Consider the following 19,499-nt stretch of genomic DNA (forward strand, 5'->3'; position numbering starts at 1 on the left):
TTCCATTCTTGAATGTTGTCTCAGACAGAAAAGGGGAGAATGAAACCAATTTTCAGGAGTTTATATAGACATAAATATGTCTGAGCTCTAACTTCAGGAATTTTACGTAGACACACACACACACACACACACACACACACACACACATATATATATCTGGGCTCTAGCCATTTCTGAGATCTAACTTCAGATCCCAGCTCTAGCACTGAACAGCTGTGACCATGGGCAAGTTACTGACCCTCTCCCTGCATCACATTGCCTACCTGTAATGTAAGTATGATAAACAGTAGTACTTACTTTATCTATTCTGCAGATTAAATGCAGTAGTACAGTAGGTGAAAGGTGAGGATTCATCCAAAATCTGCTGTAGTGTGAGTGCCTGAGCAAGCCAGCAGAAAGATTCTGGTCAGAGTGGGCCATCTAAATCAGTGATGTTGCAGGAAGAACACTGGAGTGGGGTGAATTGATTGAGTGTTACTGTAGGAGCCTATGGGTGGGAAGAGGCGGAATAGAGGGAATGATGGATGGCATGGCTGTCAAGACTCTAAAAGGACCTGGCATTGGATGATTTGGCCATCTAGAGGCTGAAGTCGTGCAGGATAATGGCAGGAAGGGCAGGAGGCATTGGGGTGAAGAGGAAGCCACAGACTCCAAGCCAGGGTGGTCAGTGAATGTGGCCATGTCTGGCATATCATGAAGGAGAGTTTCAAGGATGGGTGGAAGATTTGGCCAGATGATAGGCGCCTCAAAGGCTGAGAGTTTGCTTGCTTGCTTTAATAAATGGAGGAAGAGAAGTATTCTAGAAGCAGGAATGGAGAATAAGTAGTCTAACAAAATCCTCTACCAACACCTGGCATTGTGGAATATAAAACTTAGAGAATACAATAATATAAAAACCACACAAGATATCACTCCTATAGTCTCAGCACTTTGGGAGGCCAGGGTGGGAGGACATAGTGGGCAACGTAGTAAGACCTCGTCTCTACAAAAAAAGAAAACACAAAATAAATAATCATACCACCTAGAAGCTGACTCTGAAATATCTTGGCATCTTTCTTTGCAGTCATTTTTCATCATATGAATGTACTTATTTACATGTATCTACAATAATAATGATGATAATAATAGCTAATCTAACATGGCACTTCCTATATGCCCTGCATTGTCTAAAGGTTTTACTGATATTAACTCATTTAATACTCATAACAACCCCATAAAGTAGATAGCACTATTATCCTCATTTTACAGATGAGAAAACTGAGACACAGGTTAAGTAATAAGTCATCCAAGGTATGTACATAGCTAGGAAGCGGTGATACCAGCATATGAACCTGGCTCCAGACAGCATGCTCATTACACTGCACAGTACCAGGATAAGGGGAATGAATATGTCATATGTGTAATTTTGTAACTTACTTTCTAGTTAATATTTTGTTGCCATGTCCCTTGTGTCTTTAAGTATTCTTTGCAAATATGACTTAGGATGCCTCTATGATACCCATTCCTGCTAACTTACCACAATGTACTCAATTTCTCCTTTTGGTGGATCTTTAAGCTGTTCTTCACATGCTTCTCTTAGAGGATTTTTAATTATCTAGGAGATGCTGTTCAAGAACACAGAAACCTCTGGAGCTGATTAGCTCTGGTTGCAGGGGGTTGGGGAAACCATGGTGGCTGAAAAACTGTAGCCCAGCAAATGTGTGAGTTTTTTAATCCTGATAGACTTGAAAATACCAGTGGATACCTGGCATCTCACTGGCTCCTGGGAACCTACGCTAAAGGAACAGAAACTCAGGCAGAGATTTATAGCATACTAGCAGATGCCATTTATTTATTTATTTATTTATTTATTTATGAGACAAGAGTCTCGCTCTGTCACCCAGGCTGGAGTGCAGTGGCACGATCTCGGCTCACTGCAACCTCCGCCTCCTGGGTTCAAGCGATTCTCCTGCCTCAGCCTCCTGAGAAGCTGGGATTACAGGCGTCCGCCACCACGCCTGGCTAATTTTTTGTATTTTGAGTAGAGACGTGGTTTCACCATGTTGGTCAGGCTGGTCTTGAACTCCTGACATCAGGTAATCCATTCACCTTGGCCTCCCAAAGTGCTGGGATTACAGGCATGGGCCACTGCACCTGGCCTATATAGCCATTTACAATGATGTTTTCCAGTAATATTTAATGATATGAAAAAATATCATGTAATTTTAAAAAGAAGGATTTAAAATTCACATTAAAATGTTAATACTGCTTATCTCAGCCTGGTGTTATCACAGATTATTTTCTTCTTTGTGCCTTTTCCAAATCTCTAAAAGAATTTCTTGCAACCTCTATCAGAAGATAAAGCAGTAATGTTATGTAAAAATTAGAGCCGTAGACTTAAATAAATCTGTGACTAAGCAAAGTTGTGTAATCTTATCACGAAGGTTTAGAAAGCTGATAATGCCCAGCGTTGCTGAGAGTGGGTGTAAGAGTGCTCTTGTGCACAGTTGGTAGGTGGGAAAATTGGTATAAATCTATTTGGAAAATAGTTTGTATGTATCTATTAAACTTAATATACTTATTCTGCTTTTAGTACGCTTGCAGAAGTACTAACATTAATTTCATCATTTCAGTATTTTTCATAATTGAAACAACATAAATGTCCACCAATAGAGCATTAAGATCAAATAAATCAAACCACAATGTAACTATGCAGTGGTATATGCACAGTCATTAAAAAAGAATGAAACAGACCCAGAAGTGTCAATATCGAGACACATCTAACACATATTTTTAGAAAACGTCAAGTTACAGTTTGACATATGTAGTGTGATCTCGCTTTGTGGTATTTTCATACACACAAGGAAGTGAGTCTTGCTGTTAGAGGTATCATTGGGCCTTGAGAGAAGCGGGGACTACTGTTCTTATTTTTTATACTCTTCAGTACTATTAAATGTTCTAAATTAATGTTTATCCAAAAAAGAAGTACCAAATTCTCTTAGACACAGAAGAGATTTTAAGAGGTCTCTTGTGCTACTCTTGTATCTAATCTTTCCCTGGTAAGCAGTCAAGTAGGTGATCCATCCTCCTGTTTCCACAGTAAAGCACATCTTAATTATAGAGAGAGAGAATGAACTTTAGTTACTGAACACTGGGCAATGCAAAGAGTCAGAATATGTTAAAGGTCATAGTTCTTATAGTTTCTTACTCTAAATTGGATAGCACGTCAGTGAGGCCAATCAGAGGGAAGAATGGAAAATAGAGTATCTACTAGAGAGGTACAGGATATGGCAGAATCTTTTCATGACATTCGAAGCAAGTAGAGCGTGGCTAGTGCAAAAACCTGAAGTGTGGGCCCAAAAGACCTTTGCCGATTTTGAGCCGTGTAACTTTGGGCAAATTACTGTCTCTGGGGCACTTTCCTTACTGGTAAACAATAGGGCAGGATTAGAAAATGATATATGAGGAGAGACTGGTTCTAGGCAATAGAAAGCATTTAATAAATTATTCTTATCATGTTTCCATTATTATCAATATCACCAGTAAACTATATCTGACATAGCAAGAAAATGGCTGTTTTCTTTAAGTTGACAAAATAGACCTTATTTTGTTTTATTTACAAATTTGCCAGCTCTTTGTAATTTAAGAAATTAGTCTGCCTGCAGATGTAGGCTGGTACCAACAGATTACCTGCAACAAAGGTAACCTGACAAAGTCTTTCCTATTGGGTGTCTCCACCAGCAGTGCCTGCCAGGGCTTCCTCACTTCTCTGCTGATTTTGATCTCCATGTCAACACTCACATTAGTGGCCTTTTTCACTTTCAGCATCTGAGCAAGTGCTCAGTTTTCCAAAACATCCCAAGGTAATTAGTAGTTGGTTTCAACATTTTGAAAGGAATTATTACTGATGTCTAAAATGAAAGCCATTTACAGATTCATTTTTTTTTCTTGTTGATAGACTCAATTGTACCTTTCATCTATGATCCAGGGTAGTTAAACACCCAATCCTGAATGCTACTTTCTGTTTTACCATGGAAGGAGACTGGTCTTGTGCCCTATGTCTCCTCCAGATAACTGGAATCAGCCCCACTAGCACCTTGAGAGTGCCAGGGGTTCCCATGGACCATCAGGGCTGAGATACACTGCTCATGTTCTAACCAAGGATGTAGTTTTCAGATCTCACTTGCAGTCTGATCTTCCTTTTAAAATGCACCTCAGCCTAGCAAGGCGTGGTGGCTCACACCTGTAATCCCAACATTTGGGAGGCCAAGGCGGGTGGATCCCCTGAGGTCAGGAGTTCGAGACCAGACTCAACATGGAGAAACCCCATCTCTACTAAAAATACAAAATTAGCCAGGCATGGTGGTGCATGCCTGTAATCCCAGCTACTCGGGAGGCTGAGGCAGGAGAATTGCTTGAACCTGGGAGGCAGAGGTTGCGGTGAGCCAAGATCGCGCCACTGCACTCCAGCCTGGGCAACAAAAGCGAAACTCCGTCTCAAAAAAAAAAAAAAAAATGCACCTCAGCCTTGCCAGGCATGGTGGCTCACACCTGTGATCCCAGCACTTTGGGAGGCTGAGGCGGGCAGATCACCTGAGGTCGGGAATTCTAGACCAACCTGACCAACACGGAGAAACCCCGTCTCTACTAAAAATACAAAATTAGCTGGGTGCGGTGGCACATGCCTGTAATCCCAGCTACTCGGGAGGCTGAGGCAGGAGAATTGCTTGAACCCGGGAGGCAGAGGTTGCAGTGAGCTGAGATTGTGCCATTGCACTCCAGCCTGGACAACAAGAGCAAGACTCCATCTCAAAAAAAATAATAAATAAATAAAATAAATTTTAAAAAATAATAATAAAATGCACCTCAGCCCATGATCACAAAGTGCTCTTGGTAGAAAACGTCTTGAGGCAACATCAAAATTTCTGCAGTTTTTTATTTCCCCTGCCTTGTTTCATAAGGCAGAGGTAATGCCCACTCTTTGATTGTCTGAGGTGGTTTTGTGGGAATAATATAAGGTGGTTTTGTGGGAATAATATATATGCTTAGTCCCACCAAAAAAATGTTTATACTGCCCTCAAATATGGCAGAGATCTTGAATTATTTTCCACTTTGAAAGCTTTCTCTGGTCCACATCTTCTTACTTACCTATTTATTAAAATTCATAGGGATGGCCGGGCATGGTGGCTCACACCTGTAATCCCAGCACTTTGGGAGGCTGAGGCAGGTGGGTCACGAGGTCTTCGAGACCAGCCTGGCCAACATGGTGAAACCCTGTCTTTACTAAAAATACAAAAATTAGCTGCATGTGGTGGTGCATGCCTGTGATCCCAGCTACTTGGGAGGCTGAGGCAGGAGAATTGCTTGAACCCGGGAGGCAGAGGTTGCTGTGAGCCAAGATCGCACCACTGCACTCCAGCCTGGGTGACAGAACAAGACTCTGACTCAGGAAAAAAAAAAAAAAAAATTCACAGGGACAACATCACTGGATAAACATTCTAGCTGTAAATTTGTATCTCTCATTTTCATAGGGACAACATCACTGAATAAACATTCTAGCTGTAAATTTGTATCTCTCATTTCTTTGACTGTTAATTCTAGAAAACGCTTACATTTCATATGAGCCATATTTTTTATTAAAGAATAATTTTACACATGATTTGCAGAGTGTATGGACATGTGTAATTTGCATGCACAAATGTAGAGATGAACTGTTTCCCACACATCCCTAGATTTCAGCCTCCAAGTATTTGCAGGAACAAATGGCGCATTCATTGAAAATCTCTCAAGGTGCTCTGAGAGGAGTGGCTCGGTGTGTTTTGTTCCACACTTGGCTGGTATTGCCTGTGGGGCTTTGGAGGGTAAGAGGAGATGACAGTGTAAGGACACAGATGTGCAGTTGTCTGTGGGCTGCAAAGCTGCGAGCTGACCACCAGGCTCCAGATAGTCAGGAACCCTGAAGGCCTGGAAATGCCTGTCTGCAGATGGCCTTAGGACCAGCATACTAATAGATGCAGAGAAGCTGACTTCAGTAATGTTTTCACCCCAAGCTCCCTGTGAAAGTTTGAGCCATGATACCAACAACTCTGACTGAATGAACCCATCTTCAGAGCATGAGATATAGTTGTTTGTTTTTTCAGTTAATTTATATAAAGCTCAAAGGGATCTTCAAAATGAAAACTTTAGTAAGTATAAAATGTCTTTTAAAAGAAAAGATAGTGGGGAGAAAGTCAATAGCTATTATTTAATGGTTTTTTTTTTGAAACTCTTTATTTCCTCATTTATTTTTTTAACAGTTTGATTGTGAGATAACTCACATACCACACAGTTTACCTGCTTAAAGTGCACAATTTAACGTGCTTTTTGTTTTTCGTTTTTTTGTTTTTTGAGGCAGAGTATCTTTCTGTTGCCCAGGCTGGAATGTAGTGGTGTGATCTCAGCTAACTACAGCCTCCGCCTCCCGGGTTCCAGCAATTCTCATTCCTCAGCCTACCAAATGGCTGGGACTACAGGCATGCGCCACCATGCCGGGCTAATTTTTGTATTTTTAGTAGAGATGGGGTTTCACCCTCTTGGGCAGGATGGTCTGGAACTCTTAGACTCAAGTGATCTGCCTGCCTTGGCCTCCAAAAGTGCTGGGATTACAGGTGTGAGCCACTGCACCTGGCCTAACGTGTTTTGATGTATTACATTATTATTTGTTTTCATCATGGTAAAAATAGATGTAACAAAATTTGCTATTTTAATAAATTTTAAGTATACAATTCAGTGGTACTAATTGTATTCACAGTGTTGTGCAAGCATTTCCAGAACTTTTTTAACATTCCAAATAGAAGGTACTCTGCCCCTGGTCCCTGGTCCCTGGTAACCTCCAATCTATTTTCTATTTCTTCTAATTTATTCTAGGTGCTTCATAGAGTGCATCATATATATTTGTTATTTTGTGCCTGACACTTAGCATAATGTTTTCAAGGCGCCTCTATGTTGTGGCATATATCAGAACGCCATTCCTTTTCATGGCTGAGTAATACCCATTTTATATACATACCACAATTTGCTTATCCATTCATCTGTTGATGGGCGCTTCAGTTGTTTCCACCTTTTGGCTGTTGTGAGTAATGCTGCAGTGAACACTGATGTACAAACGTCTGTTCAAATCCCTGCTTTCAGTCCTTCTGGTTATATCGGAGTAGAATTGCTGGGTCATATAGTGATTCTATGTTTAGCTTTTCGAGAAACATTATTCCTTTTGAAAAGTTGTATTAATAACTTTTCTAAACATCTTACATGCATTATTGCATCTAATTCCCATGCAATCATATCCATTAATTCTTACTCATTCGGCAAATGTTTTTAAGGGTCTACTATGTACCAAATGCTGTTCTAGGCATTGGGGATTCTGTAGTGAACAAAATGAATGAAATGTCACCCTCTCATTGATTTTATAGTGGTGATGGCAGATGATAAACAAGTATATGTTAATATAAAACTGGGTAGAATAAATGCCATCGAGGCCATTTTTTAAAAGCCGGGTAAGCGGCATATTGGTGAGGGGCAGGAGTGGATTTGCTATTTAATAATGGAATTAAAAGGGAAGGTCTCTCTGTCACTTGAGCAGAGACTTGGCAGAATTGAGGGAGCGCAGCATCCAGAGATCCTGAGATCATTCTAGGAGTGACAAAAACAAATGCAAAGGCCCTGCGGCAGGTCCAGGCCTGGTGTGGCTGAGGGACAGCAGGCAGTCAGGGTGGCTGCGGGGAATGAGAGGGAGAGAGGAGGGTGAGGTTGGAGTTTTATTACATTGTGATAGGGAGCCACCGGAGGGCTCAAGCTAGGGATAGAATGCAGTCAATTCTTCTTATTATAGGAAAAGAAGGTGAGACTTACAGGGTTTACATGAGTTTATCAAAGTTCTAGCTGCTAAGTAAGAGATCAGGATCCAGGCCCAGGCAGATCCACTCCTGAGCGCATGCTCTTTGCCACCAGGCTGGGGTGTGTATCTGGCCCTAAGGATATTCCTGGCTAGCTGTCAGTGCTATACAGAAATATCCTATTGATGCAGTATCTCTCACGATGGGTTCGCAGCTCTCTGGAAGCCAGCCTTGCCAAGCACACTGTTCACACCCCCAAAAGTCCCTTCATTGTCTCCCTTAGGCATGATGCACTCTCCTGGCTTTGACGGGAATAGCAGCCTCAGCTTCCAGATGCTGATGAACGCAGACAGCCTCTACACAGCTGCACACTGCGCCCTGCTCCTCAACCTGAAGCTCTCCCACGGTGACTACTACAGGAAGCGGCCGACCCTGGCGCCAGGCGTGATGGTGAGTGTGCCGTCCCTCATTGGACTGGCAGAGGGCAGGCTGTAACTTCCTGGTGTACAGCCTAGCCTCAGTGCCCTGAGTGGGATGGCACAGCGTGTTTTGTTCCAGACTGCTCTAGGTTGGTAATGCCAGTGGGACTTTGGGGGATGGAAGGAGATGACATATATATAAGGGCACAGATATACAGTTGCCCAGCACCGTGAGCACAGAGCTGCCCACTGGGCTCCAGTGAAGAGTGTATGGACGTGAGGCTCTGGAAATGGCTGCCCAGGGATAACCCAGTAGTTTCATCTCATGTCATTATTAAACATGTGTATAAAACCTGTTCAAAACCACATCATTGACGTGTTAAGGGAGATCAGAAGATGTGCAAGAAATTTGCTGAAAATGAGTTGTGTTTTTCTTTTTTTTGAGACAGAGCCCCGCTTTGTTGTCCAGGCTAGAGTGCAGTGGTGTGAGCATGGCATGGCTCACTGCAACCTCAAACTCCTGGGCTCAAGCAGTCCTCCCACCTCAACTCCCAAGTAGCTGGGACTACAGGTGTGCACCACCAAGCCTGGCTAATTTTTTAATTATTTTTTGTAAAGACAGGGTCTCGCTATGTTGCCCATGCCAGCCTTGAACTCCTGGGCTCAAGCAATCCTCCCACCTTGCCCTCCCAAAGCGTTGGGATTACAGGCATGAGCCACCAGGCCTGGCTGAAGGTGTGCACTTATAAAAACTCTTCACCGTATTCCAACATGTTCCCAGACCTACTGTTGACCCAGAACTAAGCTCACTGGCTGTTGCTCATAAGCACTTCCTGTAAGGGATACAATGAGAGTGTTGGTTGTCCTGTGGTTAGCTCCTGTGATGGAGCAAGCCACTCCATGGTGTGCCCTATTATCAGTTCCTGAGCCTAAATCCATGGATCTACATGAAGGAAATCAATAATCATTTGCTTGCTTGATAAATTGTAAATTCCCAAAGATAAGTGATTGCTTCATGAGCATAAGTGAAGTGTCTCTGGAGATGTGCACATTCCTGCAGGAGCACGTTCCACCTCTGCTTCTGTTGGGGCTCCTAGAAAAGGAAGCTCGTACGCTATTAAAGACATCTGTGCAATTGCAAACCTTTCCACACATCCAAGAGTAAGAATGTAAAGTGCAGTCTCTCTAATCCTTCTGCAAGGTATCTGTCAAAAGGTGTCATCAGTGAAGGAAACCTCAGCACATTTGGGAATCCTCCATCTCTACTTCTCCCCACTTGCCGCCCCCTTACCCAATACACAAGCCTTGGTTTAGTTCAGGGCTCTGTGACGTGAAGAGGCAGCAGAGGCACTTAGGAGCCTGTTAGTGAGCAGGGTGTTATGTGGTCACCTTCTCATGCGATCTCTCTGTAGAAGGACTTCATGAAGCAGGTGCAGACCAGCGGCGTGCTGATGGTCTTCTCTCAGGCCTGGATTGAGGAGCTCTACCATCAGGTGCTCGACAGGAACATGCTTGGAGAGGCTGGCTATTGGGGCAGCCCAGAAGATAACAGCCTTCCCCTCATCACAATGCTGACCGGTCAGTGGTTCGTTGCAAGGCCTTGGGGCACGTGGTAGGGTGGGACGGCTCACGCTTTAAAGCCTCTTTCAGAGAAGTGTTGGTGCTTGGAGCAGACTTTGAAACAGCACCCACAAAGCTTCCCTGGCAATGGTGACAGTTCCAGGGAAGTGTCATGAGTTCACTTCACAGGAGTTTTCTGTCCCTTTTCCATGTGGGAGTCTGTAGGGTTCACTGTGCCCCATTAGATGAGGACTAACTTAGCACCTTTGTCTGTTGGTGTAAAACCGTAGGCCATATCTATAGGATGTGTAGGCCTAGGATTATTCCTGGAAGTTCTCACATGCTAATAGTTGCCCATATCATTCAGTGTTCTTGGGGTTTACCAATAAATGTAAAATGACTGATTTTAAAGTTGGCTTCCTGGCCAAGTGCCGTGGCTCATGCCTATAATCCTAGCACTTTGGGAGGCTGAGGTGGGTGGATCACCTGAGGTCAGGAGTTCGAGACCAGCCTGGCCAACATGGCAAAACTCCGTCTCTACTAAAAATACAAAAATTAGCTGGGCATGGTGGCAGGTGCCTGTAATCCCAGCTACTTGGGAGGCTAAGGCAGAAGAATCATTTGAACCCGGGAGGCAGAGGTTGCAGTGAACCGAGATTACACCACTGTACTCCAGCCTGGGCAACAGGAGCAAGACCCTGTCTCAAAACAAAAAGTTGGTTTCCTTCCGTTTATCCATATCAGAGGCCCTCCCTTCCCTTCCCAGCTGTACCAGAATTAATAATAATGCCAAATACTTACCAGCATCCTTGTCTTCAGTGTCCAGAGCTTTTATCTTTTTTAAGAAAATATTTATTCAGGAATAGACATTGCAATGGGAATATGCCCGCCATAGTAAACTATGTGCGTATACAGGGAGGTAAAGGATGACAAAGGTGTTTAAAGGAAAAATGAGGAGGATTTCATCATTGTTTTGAGACAATGATCCTTGAGTAAAGGATCAGTAACAAGGGCGGTGCCAGTTTAAGTTAGACAGGCAAGCAGGGGCTGGGCAGATGTCCTCACAGGAGTACTATTTTGTGTAAGGTTGCAATGGCTTGTGAGTTGCAATGGCTTGTGAACAAGTTGGTGCCTTTTGCAGAGTCTCATGTGATAGTTCTCTCTCTATATATAATTTCAACTATTACTTTAGACTAAAGGGGTACATGTGCAGGTTTGTTACCTGGGCATATTGCATGATGCTGAGGTTTGGGGTCAACTGATCCCATCACCCGGGTACTGAGTATAGTAGCCAACAGTTTTCAACCCTTTACCTTCCCTCCCTCTCCTGCCTTGCAGTCCCCAGTATCTGTTGTTACCGTCTGGACGTCCATGAGTACCCAGTGTTTAGCTCCCGCTTACAAGTGAGAACATATGGCATTTGGTTTTCTGTTCCTGCATTAACTCGTTTGGGATAATAGCCTTCAGCTATGTCCATGTTGCAACAAAGGACATGATTTTGTTCTTTTTTATGGTTGTGTAGTGTTCCGTGGTGTATATGGACCACAAGAACTTTTAAAATCCTATTTAACTATTAGAAATTTCACATGAGAGTGTAGAGAGCAGTATGCCATATTGTTGTGGTGCAGTATTTTTTGGCAAAAGCCACTTTTCATGGCTTATTGTGGCTCGGCCATAATGCCAAAGATTGGGGAGTCTGCAAAAGTTTAGTCTGGTCATCGCTTGCCTTAGTAAGTTAGAGCTCCAGCCTTGCCCTGGATTGGCTCTGAGTCCCCAGACTGGGTTTTTTGTTTGGTTGGTTGGTTGGTTTTTTTGTTTGGTTGTTTTCTTAAGAGTCTAGCTCTGTCCCCCAGGCTGGAGTACAGTGGCGTGATCTCAGCTCACTGCAACCTCCACCTCCCAGGTTCGAGCGATTCTTCTGCCTCAGCCTCCAGAGCAGCTGGAATTACAGGTGCCCACCACCATGCCCGGCTAATTTTTGTATTTTGAGTATAGATGGGGTTTCACCATGTTGGCCAGGCTGGCCTTGAACTCCTGACCTCAGGTGATCTGCCTGCCTCAGCCTCCCAAAGTGCTGAGATTACAGGCGTGAGCCGCCGCACCCACCCTCCCCAGACTGGTTTCTGATTGCAGTTATCCTCTCCTGGCTCCAGCAGAAGGAGGTGCAGAGCAAGGCCCTGCCCTCTCTGGAGTGTCTGTATCCTCACACAGCTCGGCATTGCTCTGTGCCCAGCAGGAACAGCACAGGGCTGGGCAAGACAGTCCAACTGGGGCACAGAATCTGTTGTCCAAAGGGCATGTTATGTTGCCTATGGTTGGCACTGGGGGCTCTTACAAGGTGTCAGAATAAACTGGCAGGTGGAACCCAGCCATGTAGAATTCGGGGCGAGGCACTATTTAGGAATCAGGCAGAAGGTCAGAACATACAGTGAGGTCTGTCCATGGGTGGCAGAGTCCTCATCATTGATTGGCATTTGGAGTCTTGCTTCAAGAACTAGGATGGAACTGGGGAAAGTAAGATTGGGTCTCAAACTTGGGGATCAGGATCACTGGAGAGGTGATCAATTTGTATTTTGTTAATCATTATAACATTTACATCCATTTGAAAAATAAGCATTCAGGCCGAGCACAGTGGCTCACGCCAATAATCCTAGGACTTTGGGAGGCCGAGGCGGGTGGATCACTTGAGGTCAGGAGTTCAAGACCAGCCTGGCCAACATGGTGAAACCCCATCTCTACAAAAAAAATACAAAAATTAGCTGAGCATGTTGACCAGCACTTGTAGTCCCAGCTACTTGGGAGGCTAAGGTGGAAGAACCCCTTGAACCTGGGAGACAGAGGTTGCAGTGAGCTGAGATCGCGTCACTGCACTTCAGCCTGAGCAACAGAGCGAGACTCTGTCTTTTTAAAAAAAAAAAAGAAAAGAAAAGTAATCATTCAAATGTATGAGAGCCATTTATTTAGTTTACCTAAAGCAATGCTTGATTTCCGTTTGTTTTCACAAACTCCTTTCAGTAGGGATGGCAGGTACTGCCCAGAGCTTATAAGTCTGAGAATTTGGTTGAGGACCCTAAACATTCCAGCTTTCATTTGAGAAGACCATAGTTTCTGCCAAAAGTAATCTCTGTGACTCTCTTGCCCGGACCTTAATAAAAGGAGTCATTCAGTACATGTAAAATGAATAAGTAACAGACTATTCGCAGTTCCCATATTCATCAGTCATCACTGTTAATTAGCCATCGCTGTTATTAATGGAACAGTAAGCTCAATTGCTATGTCCATAGGAAAGTTATTTAACTTTAATGATAGAAAAGGGCTTTTCATAAGAATTCAACAAAATAAGGATCTATGATTCTTTGTGATTCTAAATTCCAGGTATGAAGTGACAAGTGAATCAGAGCAGCAGTTAACCTAGAGTTTGGAGACTTCTATTTGATCTTTTCATTATGTATGAGGAGAAGCAGTGCCAGCAATCTGATGATCAGCGCTGTACTAACTGTGGCCATTCCTGATGTCATGTCAGAGTATTGTATAGAACTGTGGAATTTTAGCACAGAAATAAGCTTTGCATTACTTGAATTCATCAGACCTTTACCTAGCACATAGAAAACATTCATTATACTTTGATAAATGAAAATTTCTGGCAAATATCATTAGGCCATTTGACCAGACGTCAAATTAATTTCAGAGAAACCAGTCTGTTTCCACCTTAGCAGCCATATAGATTTCGTCCCTGTTTTGGTTCTGATAGTTGCTGAGGAGTCTCCAGGCTTTTTGTAATTTCTGTAAGAATCAAAGATACAGTGGAACACCATGCAAATAAGTCTCATCCTCTTGGGGTGAGGGTGAAGTCCTAAACTCGGAATTAATACTAATAATTACAGGCAGTGGCTCACACCTGTAACCCCAGCACTTTGGAAGGCAGAGGCGGGAGGATCACTTAAGGTCAGGAGTTAGAGGCCAGCTTGGCCTTCGTGGTGAAACCCCGTCTCTATTAAAAATACAAAAATTAGCTAGGTGTGGTGGCACATACCTGTAATCCCAGCTATCCAGGAGGCTGAGGTATGAGAATCGCTTGAACCTGGGAGGTGGAAGTTGCAGTGAGCTGAGATTGTGCCACTGTACCCCAGCCTGGGTGACAGAGTGAGACCCCGTCTCAAAAACAAACAAACAAAAACAAACAAAAAACCCACAACTACCCTCCTTTCTCATCCCCTCCCTGTGTTGCATTCAGCTATGTTAGTTGCATCCAAGTATGTATATTTCAACTCCATAGTCACTTTTCCAGTGATTACTTCCTTTATACTGAGGAACTTGGGGCCTTGGCGAGCCTGACTCAGGGCTACAAGGCTGCTTAATTCAGAGCCAAGACTAAAGCTTAGCCTTCTCAACCCAACTCCAGTCCTTTCCTCGCCATAACGTTAAAGAGTGGTTTGTTGAGCTAATTCTGTAGAAAAGAATTTGTTTCAACAAAAACTTAAACAGGATAACTGAGGATCCAGTATAGAGCTGGAATGGTATAGAGAGGCCTGGATGGGAGTCAGAAGATATGAATACTAATTATTTCTGTCATCAGCCTCATGGCCTTGAACCATTTACCTACTTTAAACATGGTCATGCATCCTTTAGCAAGGACAGGAACATGTTCTGAGAAATGCATTGTTAGGCAATTTTGTCATTATGTGACCATCATAGAGTGTACTTACACACCTAGGCTAGATGGTATAGCCTATTGCTCCAAGGCTACATACCTGCACCGTGTGTATTGAATACTGTAAGCAGCTGTCATAACAGAGTAGTATTTGTGTATCTAAACATAGAAAAGGTGCAATAAAAGTATGCTATTATAATCTTATGGGACCAATGTCTTATATGCAGTTCATGGTTGACCAAAACATCATTTTGTGGTGCAGGACTCTGTCTCTTCCTCTGTGAAATAAAAATAATACTGACCTACTTACCTAATTTTAGCTGTTTCGATGATCAAGTGAAAAAATGTTTTGTGAAAACACTTTGAAAATTATAAGGTATTATTGGCAGGGCACGGTGGCTCACGCCTGTAATCCCAGCACTTTGGGAGGCCGAGGCAGGCAGATCACAAGGTCAGGAGATCGAGACCATCCTGGCTAACACGGTGAAACCCCTGTACAAAAAATTAGCCGGGCATGGTGGTGGGCACCTGTAGTCCCAGCTACTCGGGAGGCTGAGGCAGGAGAATGGCGTGAACCCAGGAGGCGGAACTTGCAGCAGTGAGCCGAGATCACGCCACTGCACTCCAGCCTGGGCGACAGAGTGAGACTCCCGTCTCAAAAAAAAAAAAAAAAAATTATAAGGTATTATTTATTGCACTTTGCAATCTGACTATGTGATGATCTGACCAAAGAGGCTTATTCTCCTCTTAATTCATGTAAGGAAGCTCTGAAACTAAAGTTCACATCTGGGTAACCTGTACATATAAAATTTGGGAATAATCCATGGTTCTGAATAAAAAGAGTATTTAAGATCAAAATATTCTAAATCAATAGATTTTCTAACAGAGAAATAATAATTTATAATGTACATCTATTTTTAAATAAAGATAGGCAACAATGTAACAGAAGAATAAATACTCCAAAGTGAAATAAAACTAGACTGAGGGAATAAAGTAAAATTTATGATAGTCTCATTAAAGGTTGCTACATGCTTGAAACATAAAAGATACAAGGGATATTTGTTAAAAATGAATATTGTGGTGGCCATTTGCTTGTTTTTGACTGGAGTGTTTTATTTAGGGAAAACTTCTTTCTTTTTCCTTGACAGATATTGACGGCTTAGAGAGCAGTGCCATTGGTGGCCAGCTGATGGCCTCGGCTGCTACAGAGTCTCCTTTCGCCCAGAGCAGGAGAATTGATGACTCCACAGTGGCAGGTAATGACTTGGGTCTTGAGTTTATGAACATCCATACACTGCATGTGTTACCAGCAATTACATTGTTATGTGGTGACTTGAATCAGGATTTTGTCTTGGTTAGAAAAAGTAATTGGGCCGGGCCCGGTGGCTCACGCCTGTAATCCCAGCACTTTGGGAGGCCGAGGCGGGCAGATCACGAGGTCAGGAGATCCAGACCATCCTGGCTAACACGGTGAAACCACGTCTCTACTAAAAATACAAAAAATTAGCCGGGTGTGGTGGTGGGCACCTGTAGTCCCAGCTACTCAGGAGGCTGAGGCAAGAGAATGGCATGAACCCGGGAGGCGGAGCTTTCAGTGAGCCGAGATTGTGCCACTGCACTCCAGCCTGGGTGACAGAACGAGACTCCGTCTCAAAAAAAAAAAAAAAAAGAAAAAGAAAAAGTAATTGATGGAAGTTACTTAGCATCATTCAGCTGATAATGCAACATTTATTATTTATAAGAACAAAGTGAAACATAATCCCATATAATCCATTGTTATATTTCCTGTTGTAGAATTGCATGCAACTGAGTACTGCTCATTTGATAGCAAGAGAATGTGATGTCATTCATTGCCAGGTTGTTTTTGTCTCTAGAAAATGACACACACCCCTCCATGTTCCAGGCGTGGCATTTGCTCGCTATATTCTGGTGGGCTGCTGGAAGAACTTGATCGATACTTTATCAACCCCACTGACTGGTCGAATGGCGGGGAGCTCCAAAGGGCTGGCCTTCATTCTGGGAGCTGAAGGCATCAAAGAGCAGAACCAGAAGGAGCGGGACGCCATCTGCATGAGCCTCGACGGGCTGCGGAAAGCCGCACGGCTGAGCTGCGCTCTAGGTACCAGCGGGAGTAGTGTTCCCTGGCCGTGGTCCTGCAGAACTCACTGGGAATGACCCAGCAGGGTGGGGCAGGGGGACCCTTTAGAAGGGGTTCTGCTAGGTGAATGGTTAGAGGATATACTCAGTCAAGAAGTCATTGTGTGTCTCCTCTGAAGGCGTTGCTGCTAACTGCGCCTCAGCCCTTGCCCAGATGGCAGCTGCCTCCTGTGTCCAAGAAGAAAAAGAAGAGAGGGAGGCCCAAGAACCCAGTGATGCCATCACACAAGGTAACAACTGGAGGGCCAGAACCCACCTGGTGCCTTGGGTGCAGTATGCACACACCTGCACAGGCCTACACACGCCAGCCAACACTCGTGCCTGTTCTGTGTGTGATGCCCGGTATGTATACACCACTGATCACGAGATCCCATTGAGCCACAGGCTTGGGTCTCTTCCATGTAGGTGACCTACAGAAGATCTCTCTGGAGAATGAGAGACATACTGACCCCTGGTGGCAAGGAAAGTGCAGCAGGCCCAGGGGGACCCACCTGGCTGAACTGTTCACACCTGTCATCTAGTCACTGGCTTTGGCACTTCACACAAGTGCACACTTGAAGACCCTTCGGGTTATAGTGGGGAAGGCAGATTGGCCAGTTTTCTAAAGGGGAAATTAAGCAGACGAAGAAAATTCATGAGGGGAGGCTCAGGAAGAAGAGGCTCTTATCAGAGAAAAATCTGAGCTTTGTGAACTCGAGAAATGGCTGATTTTTAACTTGATGAAATCAGTGAGTCGGTGAAGCTGATGATTATCTGGATCTAAGGGAAAAGAATGACCATCCTGGTAGCAACAGAAGATACAAGGCAGGCAGCAAACAAAAGGAAAAATGCCAGCTTGGTCCAAATTGTGTAACTACTATCAGATATGTACAGTAACAAGTCACTGAGTCAGCTGTACATTTTTAGCTGAGAAACACAATTTAGGTCCGTGTTTCTCAGACTTGAATAAAATTTAGAGACCCATTTGAAAACAAAATCGCTCTCACAGATCCCCAGCGTTAACTGAAAAAGGAGTCTCACAATTTTACTTAAGTATTTTACAACCATGAACTACATAAAAATCCTTACATTCACAGTTCTTTAAAAAAAAAACCACAAAACCAAGACCACGATATTCAGATTAAAAACAAATAAAAAATAAGATTAAGGCCGGGCACAGTGGCTTACGCCTGTAATCCCAGTACTTTGAGAGGTCGAGGAAAGCGGATCACTTGAGCCCAGGAGTTCAAGACCAGCCTGGGCAACATAGCAAAACCCTGTCTCTACTAAAAATACAGAAATTAGCCAGGCATGGTGGCATGTGCCTGTAGTCCCAGCTACTCGGGAGGCTGAGGTGGGAGGATCACCTGAGCCTGGGGAGGTTCAGGCTGCAGTGAGCAATAATCATTCCATTGCACTCTAGCCTGGGTGACAGAGTGAGACCCTATCTCAAAAAAATAGATAAAACAGCCAGGCGCAGTGGCTTACACTTGTAATCCCAGCACTTTGGGAGGCTAAGGTGGGCGGATCATTTGAGGTCAGGAGTTTGAGACCAGCCTGGCCAACATGGTGAAAGAAACCCCGTCTCTACTAAAAAATACAAAAATTAGCTGGGCGTGGTGGTGGGTGCCTGTAATCCCAGCTACTTCAGAGGCTGAGGCAGGACAATTGCTTGAACCTGGGAGAGGTTGCAGTGAACCAAGATGAAGCCACTGCACTCCAGCCTGGGTAACAGAGTGAGACACCATCTCAAATAAATAAATAAAATTAGTATCACATTTATGAGACAAATGATGTTTTGCTAAAAATCACTTTGCTCCTTACATTAGGAGATGGTTTGGATTCCTTTGAGGTTGGCTTGCTATATTTCTGGGTTCTGGACCATCACTTAGTTATCCTACCACATGCAATGACTTGAAACCTTTGTTCAAGGAGGACACTGTGGTTTGGCCTTGCCTTAGCATTTTGCATTACTGACATCTGAAGTCACCTTCTGCATTCTTTCTCATTAGTCATCTACAATTTTTTTTTTCTTTTGAGACCGAGTTTCACTCTTGTTGCCCAGGCTGGAGAGCAATGGCACCATCTCGGCTTACTGCAATCTCCGCCTCCCAGGTTCAAGCTATTCTCCTGCCCCAGCCTCCTGAGTAGCTGGGATTACAGGCATGTGCCACCATGCCCGGCTAATTTTGTATTTTCAGTAGAGACAGAGTTTCTCCATGTTGTTCAGGCTGGTCTCGAACTCCCAACCTCTGGTGATCCACCTGCCTTGGCCTCCCAATGTGCTGGGATTACAGATGTGAGCCACCACACCCAGGCTACAATTTTTTAAAGTATTATTTGGAGCTCACAAATACAAACTCAAGGGATGAAATGAAATTGGTCATTTTCAGTGATAGAGCAGTCATTCTGGTGCTCAAAATATACGTAAATAAGTTGTTTTAGAGATGATGATCATAATGAGAGCCTAACATTACAATAATCTCAGAGAAAACTTGCAGAAAGCCAGGAATTCTTCCATTTGACCAATTTTTGGGAAGGGTGAAAGGTCTGGGCCCAGATGGTTTTAGCTGGAATTGGCTCATGAAACCCATCCACACTGCTGTGCCTGACCCAGAGCCCATGAAAGGGCCTGGAAGGAATGGCACCTGCCAGCTCAGGATCCATCCCACTTCTGGAGCTGGAGAGCTGGGGCCACCAGCACGTGGGACCTGCTGGCTGGGTGGTTTGCATGATGGTCCGCAAGGACCTACTGTGGAGGTGCTTGCTGCCACTGAAGTCTGTCCTTTCCCTTTTGCCCTTGCATGACACACATTCTTTCATTTTCATTCTTTCTGTCTCCCTTACTCAACCTGTTATTTTAATAAATGTCTTTCTGGCACA

General features: G+C 43.9%; 1 protein-coding gene across 3 annotated transcripts in view, besides 1 other annotated feature; it reads left to right on the forward strand.

The window, feature by feature from the left end:
- The window catches only part of ARFGEF3 (ARFGEF family member 3), a 182,725-nt gene that overhangs the window by 108,379 nt on the left and 54,847 nt on the right, over positions 1-19,499 (forward strand). For all 3 annotated transcript variants that reach the window (XR_001743524.2, NM_020340.5, XM_047419108.1), the window contains 5 exons: positions 8,134-8,300; positions 9,682-9,847; positions 15,629-15,736; positions 16,384-16,599; positions 16,757-16,867. Coding sequence is in view for 2 of the 3 variants with exons in the window: in NM_020340.5 (NP_065073.3) it covers positions 8,134-8,300; positions 9,682-9,847; positions 15,629-15,736; positions 16,384-16,599; positions 16,757-16,867 (768 nt within the window). In the remaining variant the exon portion in view is untranslated. The remainder of the gene's footprint in view (positions 1-8,133; positions 8,301-9,681; positions 9,848-15,628; positions 15,737-16,383; positions 16,600-16,756; positions 16,868-19,499) is intronic.
- Positions 16,631-17,130: an enhancer, noted in NCBI's record as "H3K4me1 hESC enhancer chr6:138608085-138608584 (GRCh37/hg19 assembly coordinates)". NCBI's record gives its function as "activates a minimal SCP1, AML or CMV promoter by ChIP-STARR-seq in primed H9 embryonic stem cells {active_cell/tissue: H9 hESC(primed)}" and the evidence as "EXISTENCE:reporter gene assay evidence [ECO:0000049][PMID:30033119]".

The sequence above is a fragment of the Homo sapiens genome, chromosome 6 (genome assembly GCF_000001405.40).
Source record: "Homo sapiens chromosome 6, GRCh38.p14 Primary Assembly".
Classification (NCBI taxonomy): Eukaryota; Metazoa; Chordata; class Mammalia; order Primates; family Hominidae; genus Homo; species Homo sapiens.